The 17,868-nt window shown below is 38.1% G+C and overlaps 1 protein-coding gene across 26 annotated transcripts in view; it reads right to left on the bottom strand.

Annotated features, from left to right (window-relative positions):
* MBD5 (methyl-CpG binding domain protein 5) overlaps positions 1–17,868 on the bottom strand; it is a 496,045-nt gene that overhangs the window by 284,669 nt on the left and 193,508 nt on the right. For 3 of the 26 annotated variants that reach the window (XM_047445056.1, XM_047445079.1, NM_001438857.1), the window contains one exon: positions 12,270–12,356. The exons of the other annotated variants lie outside the window; for them this stretch is intronic. The gene's annotated coding sequence lies outside the window, so the exon portion shown is untranslated. The remainder of the gene's footprint in view (positions 1–12,269; positions 12,357–17,868) is intronic. 26 annotated transcript variants of the gene reach the window in all.

Here is a 17,868-nt window from a genome sequence, read left to right as displayed (position 1 = left end):
AATTTAAGACTCCCTTGTTCAAAATCCCCCAAAGACTTTCCATAACATCTAAGGCAAGGACTTGGATCCTGGTTACCTTTCTGAAAGCCTATCTGATCACTCTTCCTCTTGTTTCGTATTCTGTAGCCTTAGTGGCCTTCATGTTCTTCTTCAAACATGCTAAGCACACTCTTGATTTAAGTCTTTGACCTTTGTCTTCTCTCAGATTGGAATGTCTCTTTAGATAACGACATGTCTGTTCCCACTGACTAAAACACTCTTTTTCCTTGAAAGCTTCTGGATTGTTTCTGGATCTTCTCAAATATCACTTCCCAGAGAGGATTCTCTCACCAGTCTAGCTAAAAAACCTCCGCCTCCAACTTTTACCCTCTTCACCATTGGCCTTCATTCTCTATATCCATACCTGCTTCATTTCCATTCACAGTATTTATAATTCCTAGATATTATGTAGCCCCACAATCCCGGTGAAGCCAGATGTCATTTGGAATTAAGTATTTTTGGTATTTTTAAGGTAATATAGTACATATACTATAATTATGCAACATCTCCTACCCTTCTCCCCTCCCATCCAAGACGTCTGGGAAAGCACCCTGAAGTCAAACATGTTAACAGCCTTGCAGTAAAACATATATTCATTCTAAGTGAGATTTTTTAAAGACTATAACTTGAAGCAGGGCAAGATGGCAGAATAGAAATCTCCACTGATTGTCCCTCCAAGCAAGGACATCAATTCAATAACTATCTACACAAAAAAAAGCACCTTCATAAGACTCAAAAATCAGGTGAGCACTCACAGTACCTGGCTTTAACTTCATATCACTAATGAGGCACTGAACAGGTAGGAAAAACAGTCTTAAATAGCTGATGCCACCTCTCCCGCAGCAGCAGAGGCATGGTGTGGAGAGTGTTTGGTGTGCTGGAGACAGGGAGATTGTAGCATTTATGAGGCACTGAGCTCAGTGCTGCCCTATTATAACAGAAAACAAAAGTAGACCAAACACAGCTGATGTCCACCCAAAAAAGGAGCATTTTAACCAGGCCTGTTTAGCCAGAAAGGAATCGCCAATCCCAGTGGTCCAAACTTGAGTTCCTGCAAGCCTCATCAGTGCAGGCTAAAGTGTTCTGTGGCCCAAAATAAACTGGAAAGGCAGGCTAGGCCATAAGGACTGCAACTCCAAGGCAAGTCCTAGTGTTGAACTTGGGCCAGAGACAGTGGACTGGAGGAGGGGGGTATGTGACTTACTGAGACACCAGCCAGGGTGGGGAAGGGAGTGCTGGCATCACCTCCTCCTAACCACAGGCTATACAGCTGGTGGCTCCAAAAAAGACCCACTCACTCCATTTAAGGAGAGAAGAAGGAAGAATAAAGAGGACTCTGGGATCTTGGATACCAGCTCAGCCACAGCAGGGTAGGGCACCAGTTAGAGTTATGAAGTCCCCTTTCCAGATCTTGCTAGTGAATGACATTTCTAGACACACCCTGGGCAACAAGGCAACCTGCTGCCTTGAACGGAAGAACCCAGTCCTGGCAGCATTCATCACCTTCTAACTGAAGAGACCTTGGGCCCTGAACAACCAGCAGTAATACCCAGGTACTACATTGAGGGCCTTGGGTGAGACTCTGAGACTTGCTGGCTTCAGGTGAGACTAAGCACATTCCTAGTTGTGGTGGGTACAGGGTGAGACTCCTTCTTCTTGAGAAAATCAAAGGGAAAAGCAAAGGGAACTTTGTCTTGTACCTTAGTTACCAGCTGAGCCACAGGGGTCAGAGCACCAAGCAGGTTATTGGGGTCCCAGGTTCCAGGACTTGGCTATTGAATAGAATTTCTGGACCTGCTCTGGGTCAGAGGACAGCCTGCTGCCCTGAAGGGTGAGTATTAGGCCAGGCAGCATGCAACACAAGCTGACTGAAGAGCCCTTGGGCCTTAAGGGAACATCAGTGGTACAGCACTCCCTGTGGAGATGTGGTAGCGGTAGCCATAGGGTGAGGCTCTTCTGCCTTTAAAAAGGGAAGGGAAGAGTGGGGAGGACTACATCTTTTGAGTTCAGTGCCAGCTTAGCCACAGTACAATAGAACACCAGGTAGACTTCTGAGATTTTTTTACTCTAGTCCCTGGCTCCTGCATGGCACCTCTGGACATGCCCAGGGACTTGGGGAACCCGCCACTCTGAAGTGAAGGATACAGGCCTGGCTGGCTTTGTCACCTGCTGATTGTTGAGCCCTAAAGCCTTGAGTGAACACAGGCTGAAGCCCAGGAGTGGTTACAGCAAGCCTCAGGTGAGACCCAGTGCTGTGCTGGCTTCAGGTCTGGCCTAGTACAGTTCTAGTGGTGACGGCCACAGAGGTGGTTATGTCACAATATTCCCAGCTCCAGATGGCCTAGAACAGAGAGAGAGAGACAGAGACAGAGACAGAGATGGGGGTGGGGTGGGACAGACAGACTCCATTCATTTGGAGAACGTGAGGAAAGAGAACAAGAGTCAATGCCTGGTAATCCAGATAATCCTTCTGGATGTTGTCCAGGACCATCAAGGCAGTACCTTTATGAGTCTGTAAGAACTATAGCATTACCAGGCTTGTGGTGCCCCTAAAGCAGATACAGCTTAGATCACAACACTTAGATCACAACAATCAAGTCCTTTTGAATATCTGGAAAGCCTTCCCAAGAAGGACAGCTACGAGTAAGTACAGAAAGTGAAGACTATAATAAATACCTAACCCTTAAATGCCCAGACATCAAAGAACATCTACTAGCATCAACACCATCCTGGAAAACATGACCTCACCAAATGAAATAGATAAGGCACCAGGGACCAATTCTGGAGAAACAGAGATATGTGACTTTTCAGACAGAGAATTCAAAATGGCTGTGCTGAGGAAAGTCAAAGAAATTCAAGATAACACAGAGAAGGAATTCAGAATCCTATCTGATTAGCTTAACAAAGAGATTGAAATAATTACAAAGAATCAAGCAGAAATTCTGGAGCTGAAAAATGCAACTGCCATATTGAAAAATGCATCAAAGTCCATTAATAGCAGGTGTGATCAAGCTGAATAAAGAATTAATGAGCTTGAAGATAGGCTGTTTGAAAATACACAGAAAAGACAAAAAAAAAAGAAAGAAAAGAAAAAACAATGAAGCAAAGCAGGCTGCAAAATAGCCTCAAAATGCAAGAAATAACTAAGATCAGAAGGAAATAGAGACAAAAAAACCCTTCAAAAAAATCAATGAATCCAGGAGCTGGTTTTTTGAAAAGATCAACAAAATTGATAGACCACTAGCAAGACTAATAAAGAAGAAAAGAGAGAAGAATCAAATAGACGCAATAAAAAATGACAAAGGGGATATCACCAGCGATCCCACAGAAATACAAACTACCATCAGAGAATACTATAAACACCTCTATGCAAATAAATTAGAAAATCTAGAAGAAATGGATAAATTCCTTGACACATACACTCTCCCAAGACTAAACCAGGAAGAAGTTGAATCTCTGAATAGATCAATAACAGGCTCTGAAATTGAGGCAATAATTAATAGCTTACCAATTAAAAAAAGTCCAGGACCAGATGGATTCACAGCCGAATTCTACCAGAGGTACAAGGAGGAGCTGGTACCATTTCTTCTGAAACTATTCCAATCAACAGAAAAAGAGGGAATCCTCCCTAACTCATTTTATGAGGCCAGCATCATCCTGATACCAAAGCCTGGCAGAGACACAGCAAAAAGAGAATTTTAGACCAATATCATTGATGAACATTGATGCAAAAATCCTCAATAAAATACTGGCAAACCAAATCCAGCAACACATCAAAAAGCTTATCCACCATGATCAAGTGGGCTTCATCCCTGGGATGCATGGCCGGTTCATCATACGAAAATCAATAAACGTAATCCAGCATATAAACAGAGCCAAAGACAAAAACCACATGATTATCTCAATAGATGCAGAAAAGGCCCTTGACAAAATTCAACAATGCTTCATGCTAAAAACTCTCAATAAATTAGGGATTGATGGGACGTATCTCAAAATAATAAGAGCCATCTATGACAAACCCACAGCCAATATCATACTGAATGGACAAAAACTGGAAGCATTCCCTTTGAAAACAGGCACAAGACAGGGATGCCCTCTCTCACCACTCCTATTCAACATAGTGTTGGAAGTTCTGGTCAGGGCAATCAGGCAGGAGAAGGAAATAAAGGGCATTCAATTAGGAAAAGAGGAAGTCAAATCATCCCTGTTTGCAGAGGACATGATTGTATATCTAGAAAACCACATTGTCTCAGCCCAAAATCTCCTTAAGCTGATAAGCAAATTCAGCAAAGTCTCAGGATACAAAGTCAATGTGCAAAAATCACAAGCATTCTTATACACCAATAACAGACAGAGAGCCAAATCATGAGTGAACTCCCATTCATAATTGCTTCAAAGAGAATAAAATACCTAGGAATCCAACTTACAAGGGATGTGAAGGACCTCTTCAAGGAGAACTACAAACCACTGCTCAAGGAAATAAAAGAGGACACAAACAAATGGAAGAACATTCCATGCTCATGGGTAGGAAGAATCAATATGGTGAAAATGGCCACACTGCCCAAGGTAATTTATAGATTCAATGCCATCCCCATCAAGCTACCAAAGACTTTCTTCACAGAATTGGAAAAATCTACTTTAAAGTTCATATGGAACCAAAATAGAGCCCACATTGCCAAGTCAATCCTAAGCCAAAAGAACAAAGCTGGAGGCATCATGCTACCTGACTTCAAACTATACTACAAGCCCACAGTAACTAAAACAGCATGGTACTGGTACCAAAACAGAGATATAGACCAATGGAACAGAACAGAGCCCTCAGAAATAATGCCGCGTATCTACAACTACCTGATCTTTGACAAACCTGAGAAAAACAAGCAATGGGGAAAGGATTCCCTATTTAATAAATGATGCTGGGAAAACTGGCTAGCCATATGTAGAAAGCTGAAACTGGATCCCTTCCTTACACCTTATACAAAAATTAATTCAAGATGGATTAAAGACTTACATGTTAGACCCAAAACCATCAAAACCCTAGAAGAAAACCTAGGCAATACCATTCAGGACATAGGCATGGGCAAGGACTTCCTGTCTAAAACACCAAAAGCAATGGCAACAAAAGCCAAAATTGACAAATGGGATCTAATTAAACTAAAGAGCTTCTGCACAGCAAAGGAAACTACCATCAGAGTGAACAGGCAACCTACAGAATGGGAGAAAATTTTTGCAACCTACTCATCTGACAAAGGGCTAATATCCAGAATCTACAATTAACTCAAACAAATTTACAAGAAAAAAACAAACAACCCCATCAAAAAGTGGGTCAAGGGTATGAACAGACACTTCTCAAAAGAAGACATTTATGCAGCCAAAACACACATGAAAAAATGCTCACCATCACTGGCCATCAGAGAAATGCAAATCAAAACCACAATGAGATACCATCTCACACCAGTTAGAATAGTGATCATTAAAAAGTCAGGAAACAACAGGTGCTGGAGAGGATGTAGAGAAATAGGAACACTTTTACACTGCTGGTGGGACTGTAAACTAGTTCAACCATTGTGGAAGTCGGTGTGGCGATTCCTCAGGGATCTAGAACTAGAAATACCATTTGACCCAGCCATCCCATTACTGGGTATATACCCAAAAGATTATAAATCATGCTGCTATAAAGACACATGCACACGTATGTTTATTGCGGCACTATTTACAATAGCAAAGACTTGGAACCAACCCAAATGTCCAACAATGGTAGACTGGATTAAGAAAATGTGGCACATATACACCATGGAATACTATGCAGCCATAAAAAATGATGAGTTTATGTCCTTTGTAGGGACATGGATGAAGCTGGAAACCATCATTCTCAGCAAACTATCACAAGGACAAAAAACCAAACACCACATGTTCTCACTCATAGGTGGGAATTGAACAATGAGAACACATGGACACAGGAGGGGGAACATCACACACCGGGGACTGTTGTGGGTGGGGAGAGAGGGGAGGGATAGCATTAGGAGATATACCTAATGCTAAATGACAAGTTAATGGGTACAGCACACCAACATGGCACATATGAACATACATAACAAACCTGCACATTGTGCAAATGTACCCTAAAACTTAAAGTATAATAATGAAAAAAAAAAGAAAATAGCCTCAAAATGGCAAATCTACGAGTTATTGGCCTTGAAGAGAAGGTAGAGAAAGAGATAGAGGCAGAAAGTTTACTCAAATGAATAGCAACAGAGAACTTCCCAAACCTATAAAAGATATCAATATCGAGAGTACAAGAAGGTTATAGAACACCATGCAGAATTAACCCAAAGAAGACTACCCTAAGGCATTTAATAATTGAACTCCCAAAGGTCAAGGATAAAGAAAGGATCCTAAGCAGCAAGAAAAACGAAATAGCATACAATGGAGTTCCAATATATCTGACAGCAGAATTTTCATTTCATACTTCACAGGCCAAGAGAGAATGGCATGACATATTTAAAGTGGTGAAGGAAAAAACTTTTACTCTAGAATGGTATATTCAGTGAAAATATCCTTCAAACATGAATAGGAAATAAAGGCTTTCCCAGACAAACAAAAGCTTAGGGATTTTATCAACACCAGAACTTTCTGCAGGAAATGCTAAAGGGAGTATTTTGATCAGAAAGAAGAGGACATTAATAAGCAACAAATCATCTGAAAGTACAAAACTCACTGGTAATAGCAAATACACAGGAAAACACAGAATATTATAACACTGTAACTGTGGTGTGTAGACTACTCCTATCTTAAATAGAAAAATGAAATAATTAACCAATAAAATAAATAAAAAATAACCATAACAAGTTTTCAAGACATAAACAATACAATAAAATATAAATGGAAACAACAGAAAGTCAAAAAAACAGGGGGATGAAGTTAAGGCATAGAGTGTTTATTAGTTTTTTGTTTGTTTGTTTATGTAAACAGTGTTAAGTTGTTATCAGCTTAAAATAATGGGTTATAAGATAGTATTTGCAAACCTCTTGGTAACCTCAAACCAAAAAAACATACAACTAATACACAAAACATAAAAGGCAAGACCCAAGAAAATCACCTTCACTGAAGGGAAGACAGGAAGGAAAGAAGACCACAAAATAACCAGAAAACAAATAACAAAATGGCAGGAGTAAGTCCTTACTTACCAATAAAGAAACTGAATGTAAGTGGACTAACCTCTCCAATCAAAAGACATTGAGTTGCTGAATGGATACAAAAAAAAGACAAGACCCTGTGATCTGTTGCCTATGAGAAATACACTTCACCTATAAATACAAACATAGAGTGAAAGTAATGGGATGGAAAAAAAAATATTCCATGCCAATGGAAACCAAAAGAGCAGGAGTGGCCATACTTTTATCAGACAAAATAGATTTATAGTCAAAAACTATAAGAGAGACAAAAAAAGTCACTATGTTATGATAAAGGGGTCAATTCAGCAAAAAAACAAAACAAAACAATTTTAAATACATATGCACCCAACACTGACACACCCAGATTTATAAAGCGAATATTATTAGAGCTAAAGATAGAGATAGGCCCCAATACACTAATAGCTAGAGGCAGCCAGGTGTGGTGGCTCACGCCTGTAATCCTAGCACTTTGGGAGGCCAAGGTGAGCAGATTGTCTGAGCTCAGGAATTTGAGACCAGCCTGGGCAACATGGTGAAACCTCGTCTCTACTAAAAAAAAAAAAAAAAAAAAAAAAAAAAAAATTAGCCAGGCGTGGCAACGTGCACCCGTAGTCCCAGCTACTCAAGAGGCTGAGGCAGGAGAATTGCTTGAACCTGGGAAGCAGAGGTTGCAGTGAGCCGAGATGGTGCCACTGCACTCCAGCCTGGTGACGGAGCGAGACTCCATCTCAAAAAATAAATAAATAAATAAAATAAAGCTAGAGGCTTCATCACCATACTTTCAGTATCAGACAGAGACATATCGTCCAGATGGAGAAATCAACAAAGCAACATTGGACAATCTGCACTACAGTCCAAATAGACCTAATAGACATTTACAGAACAGTTCATCCAATGGCTGCAGAATACACATTTTTTTCCTCAGCACATGGATGATTCTCAAGAGAAGACATTAGGTCACAAAACAAATCTTAAAACATTCAAAAAACTGAAATAATATCAAGCATGTTCTCTGACCAAAGTGGAATAAAACTCATAATCCATAATAAGAGGAATTTTGTAAACTGTACAAATACATGGAAATTAAACAATATGCTCCTGAATGACCAGTGGGTCAATGAGGAAATTAAAAAGAAAATTGAAACATTCATTGAAACAAATGATAATGGAAACACAACAAGCAAAACCTATGGAATATAGCAAACGTAGTACTAAGAAGGAAGTTTACGGCCATAAGTGCCTACATGAAAAAAGAAGAAAAACTTCAAATAGACAACCTAAAGATTCATCTTAAAGAACTAGAAAAGCAAGAGCAAACCAAACCCAAAATAAGTAAAAGAAAAAATAAAGAGCAGAGCATAAATAAATAAAATTGAAATAAACAAGTTAGTTTTTTGAAAAGTTAAGCAAAATTAACAAACTTTTGGCCACACTAGGAAAAAAAGAGAGAGGATCCAAATAAATAAAATCAGAGATGAAGATGGAGACATTACAAATGATACGACAGAAATTCAAATGATCATTAATTACTCCTATGAGAAACCATATGCCAATAAATTGGAAAATCTAGAAGAAATGGACAAATTCCTAGAAAAATACAACATACCAAGATTAAACCATGAAGAAATCCAAAACCTGAACAAACCAGTAACAAGTAATGAGATTGAAGCTGTAATAAAGTCTCCCAGGAAAGAAAAGCCCAGAAACTGATGGCTTCACTGCTGAATTCTACCAAATATTTAAAAAATGAATACCAATACTACTCAAACTACTCCAAAAAACAGAAAAGGGAATACTTCCAAACTCATTCTATGAGCCCAGTATTACCCTTATACCAAAAATAGACAAATACACATTAAAAAAAGAAAACCACAGGCCAGTATTTCTGATGAATAGTGATGCAAAAATCCTCAACAAAATACTAGCAAACCAAATTCAACAGTACATTAGAAAGATTATTCATCATGACCAGGTGGGATTTATCCCTGGGATGCAAGGATGGTTCAACATGTACAAATTAATCAATGTGATGTATCATATCAATAGAATGAAAGACAAAAACCATATGATCATTTCAACTGATGGTGAAAAAGCAGTTGATAAAATTCAACATCCCTTTATAATCCACCATTAAAAAACTGGATATAGAATGTACATTAGCATCAGAAAAACCATAGATGACAGACTCACAGCTAGCATCATACTGAATATGGAAAAGCTAAAAGCCTTTTGTATAAGATCTGGAAGATGAAAAGGATGGCCACTTTTCTCACTGTTACTCGACATAGTACTGGAAGTCCTAGCTAGAAAACCAGACAAGAGAAAGAAATAAAGGGCATCTAAATTGGAAGGAAAGAAGTCAAATTATCCTTGTTTGCAGATGACATAATATTATATTTGGAAAAATGTAAAGACCCCAAACACACACACACACATACACACAACTATTCAAACTGATAAACAAATTTAGTAAAGTTGCAGGATATAAAATCCACCTACAAAAAACAGTAGCATTTCAAAATGCAACAGTGAACAATCTGAAAAAGAAACTAAAAATGGAATCCTATTTACAGTAGCCACAAATAAATACCTAGGAATTAACTTAATGAAAGAAGTGAAAGATCTCTATGGTGAAAATTATAAAATACTGATGAAAGAAATTGAAGAGGACACCGAAAGAAACCAGAAAGATACTCCATGTCCATGGATTGGAAGAATCAATATTATTAAAATGTCCATACTGCCCAGTGCAATTTACAGAATCAGGTCTATCCCTATCAAAATACCAATGACATTCTTCAAACACACACACATAAATTTTGTAAAATTTATATGGAACCACAGAAAATTCAAAATAGTCAAAGCTATCCTAAGCAAAAAGAACAAAACTGAGAAAATCACATTACCTGACTTCAAATTATACTACAGAGCTATAGTAATCAAAACAGCATGGCACTGACATAAAAACACACATGTAGACCAACGGAACAGAATAGAGAACCCAGAAACAAATTCACACACCTACAGTAAACTCATTTTCAACAAATGTGCCAAGAACATACACCGTGGAAAAGACAGTCTCTTCAATAAATGGTGCTGGGGAAAATGAATATCCATATGCACAAGAATGCAGTTAGACTGCTATTTCAAGCCATATAGAAACATCACATAGAAATACATTAAAGATTTAAACCTAAGACCCTCAGATTATGAAACTACTACAAGAAAACATTGGGGAAAAATCTCCAAGACATTGGTCTGAATAAAAATTTATTGAGTAATACCCTACGAGCACAGGCAATCAAAACAAAAATAGACAAATGGGATCATATCAACTTAAGAAGTTTCTGCACAGCAAAGGAAACAACAAAGTGAAGAGACACCACAAAGAATTGGAGAAAATATTTGCAAACTACCCATCAGACTAGGGGTTAATAACTAGAATATACAAGGAGCTCAACTCTATGGGAAAAAATCTGATAATCTGATTAAAAAATGGGCAAAAGATTTGAGTAAACATTTCTCAAAAGAAGCCATGGAAATGGCAAACATGCATATGAGAAAGTGCTCAACATCACTGATAATTAGAGAAATGCAAATCCAAACTACAATGAGATATCATCTCACCTCAGTTAAAACGGCTTTTAGTCAAAAGAAAGGCAATAACAAATGCTGGCAAGGATGTGGAAAAAACGGAACCCCAGTCTTGGTAGGAATGTAAATTACTAAAAGCACTATGGAGAACAGTCTGGAGGTTCCTCAAAACTAAAAATAGAGCTACCACATGATTCAGTAATCTCACTGCTGGGTATATACCCAAAAGAAATCAGCGTATCGAAGAGTTATCTGCAATCCCATGTTTGTTGCAGCACTGTTCACAATAGCCAAAATTTGGAAGCAACCTAAGTGTCCATCAACAGATGAATATAAGAAAGTGTGGTACTGACACACAATAAAGTACTATTCAGTCATCAAAAAGAATAAGATGTTGTCATCTGCAACAACATGAATGGAACTAGAGGTCATTATGCTAAGTTAAGCCAGGGACAGAAAGACAAAGCATGTTTTCACTTATGTGTGAGATCTAAAAATCAAAACTATTGAACTCATGGAGATAGAGGAGAGAAGGATGGTTACCAGATGTTGGGAAGGGTAGTTGGAGGGTTGGGGATACGTGGGGATGGTTAATGGGTACAAAAACTCCTAGAAAGAATGAATTAAGTCCTAGTATTTGATAGCACAACAGGGTGACTATAGTTGATAGTAATTTAATTGTATATTTAAAATAAGTAAAAATTGTTATAACAAGATGTCTTAGAAAAAAACTAAAAGTATAATTTGATTGTAACAGAAAAGATAAATGCTTGAGGTGATGAATATCCCATTTTACATGATGTGATTGTTACATGTTGCATGCCTGTATCAAAACATTTCATATATCGTACAAATATATACACATAGGTACCCACAAAAATTAAAATAAAAAATAAGACTATGACTAGTCTCATATCAGCTTTACTACTAAATGAATCTGATTCAGCTTTTACCACTATTTGAAATGTCAAAATTTCCAGTTTCCCAAGCTTTTTGATATTAGAATTGCAGATAAGGGACTGTGGAACATACTACTTATTAATTTGTTAATTTCTTGTCTCTTCCACATAATGCATGTTCACAAGAACAAAGATTTGTTTTGTTTTTGCTCTGTAGTCCAGTGCCTAACAGATAATAATAACTGAATAAATATTAGCTAAGTGGACAAATGAAGGCCTCTGTAAGGATTAGCTTTGTGTTATTTTTACATTTTAAGTAAATCTTGTCCTACAGTCATCTCTCAATTGAAGCAATAGTTGAACTTTTAAAAATATTATTATTAAAATTATCTCTTCTTTTAAGGCTCATTGAAAGGCAGAAGGATAGAAAAATATGATAAACAGTATTTATATAAACTACAGGAAAAAACACCTGGTCTGTGTGATACAGTGGGAAGAGTTCTCAGCTAGAGTTCTAGAGATCTAGGTTGGTTTCCTTCCTTTCCTTTTTCTATCAACTACTTACCTATTTATTATTCATCTATCCATCCTCCATTCATCCACTTCTTCCTCTTTGACTTACATATCTCGCCATTTTGGCTCGATTCATTATCTGTCAAATGAGTGGATAAAACCTGGTGATCTTTAGCCATTCTCTGATTCTGCTAACAGTAAATAATTGTGATAATATTTGACTATCCTAGAGGTTGGCTCACACTAGCTTTTCAATTAAACTTAAGCATGTTTATTTGTTTAAATGTTACTATAGCTTTGTAGGATAATGTGAAGTTAGGTAATGTGATTTCCCCAGTTTTTTGTTCTTTTTGCTTAGGATAGGAAAAAGTGTCACTTAGTGACACCTTTGCCAAATATGTATTTTATGTTACAGTTACACAATACTGAATTTTTGTGTGTTTCTGTATGCCTAATAATAGCAAACGTTTATTGGACATTTTCTATGCACCAGAAACTATTTTAAGCTTTTTACATACACTAACCTTACAACTCTCTATTAGTCATGTGCTGTATAATATTGTTTTGGTCAACTATCAATTGCATATATGACAATGATCCCATAAGATTATAATGAAGTCAAAAAATTCCTATTGCCTAGTATTTACTATACTCTATGTTTTAATTGTTATAGTAGAGTGTACTCCTTCTACTTATTAAAAAAAAAAGTTAACTGTAAAACAGCCTCAGGCAGGTCCTCCAGGAGGTACTCCAGAAGAAAGCACTGTTACATAGCAGATGACAGCTCCGTGTGGGTTACTGCCCCTGAGATCCTTCCAGTGAGACAAGATATGGAGGTGGAGGAAAGCGATACTGATGATCCTGACCCTGCATAAGCCTAGCCTAATGTGTGTGTTTGTGTCTTAGTTTTTAACAACAAAGTTTAAAAAGAAAAAAATTTAATAGAAACAAGCTTATAGGATAAGGATAAATAGAAAATATTTTTGCACAGCTGTACATGATTGTGCTTTGTGTTTTAAGCCAAGTGTTATTATAAAAGCATCAAGAAGTTAAACAATTTAAAGTTTATAAAGTAAAAGTTACAGTAAACTAAGGTTAATTTGTTATTGTAGAAAAAAACTTTTAAAATAAATTTAGTGTAGCCTAAGTCTACATTATTTATAAAGTCTACATTAGTATACAGTAATGTCCTAGGCCTTCGCATTCACTCACTACTCACTCACTGACTCACTCAGAGCAACTTCCAGTCCTCCAAGCTCCATTCGTGGTAAATCTTCTATACAGATGTACCAGTTTTTATCTTTCATATCTTACTTTTATTGTACCTTTTTTGTTTAGATATACAAATACCATTATGTTGTAATTCTCTACAGTATTCAGTACAATAATATGCTGCACAGGTTTGTAACCTAGGAGCAATAGGCTATACCCTATAGCGTAAGTGTACAGTAGGCTATAACATCTAGATTTCTGTAGGTACACTCTATGCTGTTCACACAATGAGGAAATTGCCTAACAATACAGAAAGTACTCATGTCATTAAGCGATGCATGACTGTATCATCCCCTGTGGTAGAATAGATTGCCATCTGTTTCACTACCACATCTCCACAGAAAGTGTGCACCTCTCTGTGCTTTGACTTTGGGCTCGGCTATGTAACTTCTCTTAGCTAATTGAATAATAGCAGACATTACCTAAGTAGAACTTTGAAATATGCTTATGCAGATTAGTCTGTTCCCTTGCAATCCTGCTGTTCATACTGAGAAAAAAAAATGTCTCAGGTATCCGTTGATCCAAGGAAGATGAGAGATATGTGATATGAACCTAGACTTACCCCCTACCAAGAACCAAGTCCAGCTGAGCCCAGCCTGGATGAGACCTATCCAGTGGTCTCATCCAGTGGTAGGGCTAAGACATTAAGCCATGCAAGTCTGGTCAAGGGCTTATACTCTTAAGTCCCATGCCATATTGCCACTACACTATACTGGCTATATTGTATGATATTAAATTATGTATTAATACGCTAGTGAGTGATCTGGCACATATTAAAATTCTTAATTTTGTCTATATTGTCTATATACACATCAATGGACAAAGCTGTCTTGCAATTTGGAGTAAAATGTTTTTTATCGGGGGAGTTTTAAGAGGTTTGGAAGCCTGGCCATCAGTACCAACAACAGTTATGGAGGCAAGGGAAACTGGCCCTTGAAAAGAAGGGTAATGACAACTCCGTGAGGGTGGAGATTATATGTCTCTCATCATTTAAGCAAGAAGGAAATAAATTAGTGGCAGACTAAGGGTGACTTGATGTTTCTTCAGCTGTCAAAAAAGAAGAGACTGCTTTGATCATGAAAGATGATGGGATGGCATGCATCAGTCCACAGCTGTACGCCCCAGTCATACAGAATAGGACTCAGCAAACATTCGAGTGCCATTCAGAGAGAAGAAACACACATCCAATCCTAAACATATGAAATGGCAACAACAAAAGGAGGAAAAGACATCTTATGAAAACATGGCCACCTACTTGGAACATTCCATAGTGTGACATAGAGTAAGTCTGCTTAGGATTATTCCATTGATCCCCAGGGGCCAGTTGCCCAGCGCTCAAAGCCCAAGGTGGAAGACAAGTGCTTCCATGAAGAGCTGATGAGCTGGCCTCTCTGCAGACTGCTCCATACCCTGTGCTGTCCTGCCTCAGATGCAGAGAGAGAGCACAAGGCTCCCTCTCTCCTCATCTTTGGTGTGCCTGTGTTCTTGCTACCATCACAGCTGAATGCAAAGAAAGGCCATCCTCTGAGAGGAGCAGGGGTGGAGATGCTAAAGCAGAGGATCCCTCCCATTGCTGATAGATCCTCATCTGGCATACGCTTCACCCACCCACCCCATTCTCTGCTCCCACATACCGTAGCCCCATCACAGAAGACGTGACATGGAAAAAACACTGTGTCCACCCTAGTTCTTTTCTTAAATTTGGGCAGGGATCCGGGGTGTAGGTTAAGAGATTTTTAATTTGCCAGATTGTATGCTTATGTTGTTGAATGTACAATGAATCTATGGTATGACAGCAGTTTCTGGATAAACATTACTTTAGGTCCTAAAATGCAGAAGGGAAAAAGCAACTTTTGTCAGATGCCTATTTTGCTTTCATTTCATCTCTAATATTTTGGATGGGGAACCATCCAAAGCTTCTGGCTGCATGAAGGTCAAGTGTGCCAGTGTGCAGCTGGGTTTCTTTTCCAGAACTAAAAGTACTTTGGGTGGTGCTGAGGGTCAGCGGAAGAAGTAAAGATTGTGAGAAAGGAGAAACACGGGCTTGGGGAGAACCCAGAATTGGGGACAGAAGACCTAGCACTAGGCTACAGCACTTAGCACCTCTGATCTTGTTTTTCCTCATCTGTAAAAGGAGATTAACAATGCTTTTCTGCCCACCTCTTGGGGAGAAGGGAAGAATATAATTGTTAAAAAAATGTTTTGAAAAATAAGCAACACTGTCTTTATATAAGTAGCCAAGCATTATTAATTATCCACCCCATATCACGGTAGATACCTGTATTCAAGCTATCTGGACATGAAAGCAGTCACATTTTAGAAGTCATGAAGTTGGTGCTAATAAACCTAATCTACAGAAAAAAAAAGTTTTTTGTCTTGAGACATCAATAATATAAAATAAATGCACTGCTTTCTGGAGTCAGATTAATAAGACTACATTATAGACAGCTCTTGGGGTAGTTTCGTAGCTCATCCCCATACCAAATAATGGATCTCACTGTTAACAGATCTACTACAGTTTCTACTCTCTGGCTCTGGCTGACCAGTTGAGGCATGCATCTGTGATCTAAGCTTGATCGGCCAGGTTTCTCTTCTAATATTTTCAAATTTGCACCCATGACTGGGCATTTCTATCATTGGCTCCACTCTGGAGAAAGCTACTGTCCAGAGCTATCTTTGTTCCCTCCCTTCCCACCTTCCAATTGCATTAGAAACTCCAGTATTTCCCCAGAAAATACCCTTTTTGTATAAGCTTGCCAAAATTTGTTTTTCTTCTTGTAATCTTAAGAAATTTAACCAAAAGTTTAAAAATCCATTGTTTTTTTCTGTTATAATTTAAAAGTGCAGAGGGAGGATTTCTTAAAGACAAGACCAAATAAAGCTTGCATTTGTTTTATATCCTATCAAAGTAGTTTTGCAATTTATAGTTGTGGACAATGTGTCCCCTGATATTCATTAAAAATTCTTCCATATTTTCAAAAACCAAGGTCTGGCTGGGCATGGTGGCTTATGCCTGTAATTCTGGCACTTTGGGAGGCTAAGGTAGGAAAATCGCTTGAAGCCAGGAGTTTGAGATCAGCGATATAGCAAAACTTTGTTTCTACCAAAAAAAAAAAAAAAAAAAATTAGCCGGGCATGGTGCTGCACACCTGCATTCCTAGCTATTTGGGAGGCTGAGGTGGAAGGATCACCTGAGGCCTGGAGTTCCAGGCTGCAGTGAGGTATGATGGTGCCTGGGTGACAGACTAAGACCTTGTCTCGAAAAAAAACCCCGCCCACAACCTGCCCACTCAAAAACAAAAACAAAAACAAACAAACAAACAAAAACAGGGTCCATGGGCCCACAAGGAGTCTGTGGATAAATTATATATCAGTAAAACTGAACAAAGTAGATATCTTTCATAATCTTATGTATTTTATGCATTAAAACATTTTATTTCTATTGAGCTTTGTTTACTCCTTTTGATAATTCAAGGCAAGTGAACATATGGGATTATTTATGTCACTGATTTACTCAGAAGTGCTCAAATATATTCCAGACACTATTTTGGGGGCTGGCGATGTAGCAGGGACAAAACAGACAGTCTTTGCCCTCACAGAGTAGTGGTAAGAAAGAATATGTAGAATATAAAATTTCACACTACTGTTAGTAATGAACCTGGTACAAGTACCACAGCGAGGAGATTAGAGTAGCTTAAAATGTGAGAGTAAGAAACACAAAATGCTTAGAGGAAATTAATGTGCAATCCTTAACCTATATCTAGTTTTAAGTGATATATTAACATATGAAGGGAGCCCTGCCATAGTCAAGTTTAAGAGCAATAATAAAGTACAACTACTAACTACCACAATGACAATAAAGGTAAATAGCAATGCTAAGGTTACCTTACCAGTAATTTCATATGTGCTATTATAACTTCTTAATAATCTGTCAGGATGGGCAGGTGAGAAAATGGAGCCTTAGAGGCCCACCAAACTTGATCACTTTGATTAGTGGTAGAACCAGGAATATAGCCTGGTTTTCACATCTCCTGGTTTTATTTCCTTTATACCACATTACCTAATCACAACCGAAGACAAGTTTCACAGCAGACAGTGTTGAAATTTCTTTTTATTTACTTCCATAATCTACTTGTGACATGGGGTAGAGAAGCAACATAACAGGGGTCATATAGGAGCTACTGGTAACAAATTGAACACTTTTGGTTATCAGGCATAAGCTCAGATTAGCAAGAACTTTGGGGTGGTATGATAGATGTGATACTGGGGAAATTTAAGAATGAATTACAAAAGCAGATTTTTCCAACCAATGAATTGAACCATTTAGTGCAGAAGTTGGCAAACTTCAGCCCATGGAGTAAGTCCAATCTGCTACCTGT

Source organism: Homo sapiens, chromosome 2 (genome assembly GCF_000001405.40).
Source record: "Homo sapiens chromosome 2, GRCh38.p14 Primary Assembly".
In the NCBI taxonomy this organism is placed as follows: domain Eukaryota; kingdom Metazoa; phylum Chordata; class Mammalia; order Primates; family Hominidae; genus Homo; species Homo sapiens.
Note: the sequence above shows the minus strand (reverse complement) of the source record. Positions and strands in the feature narration are given on the sequence as shown.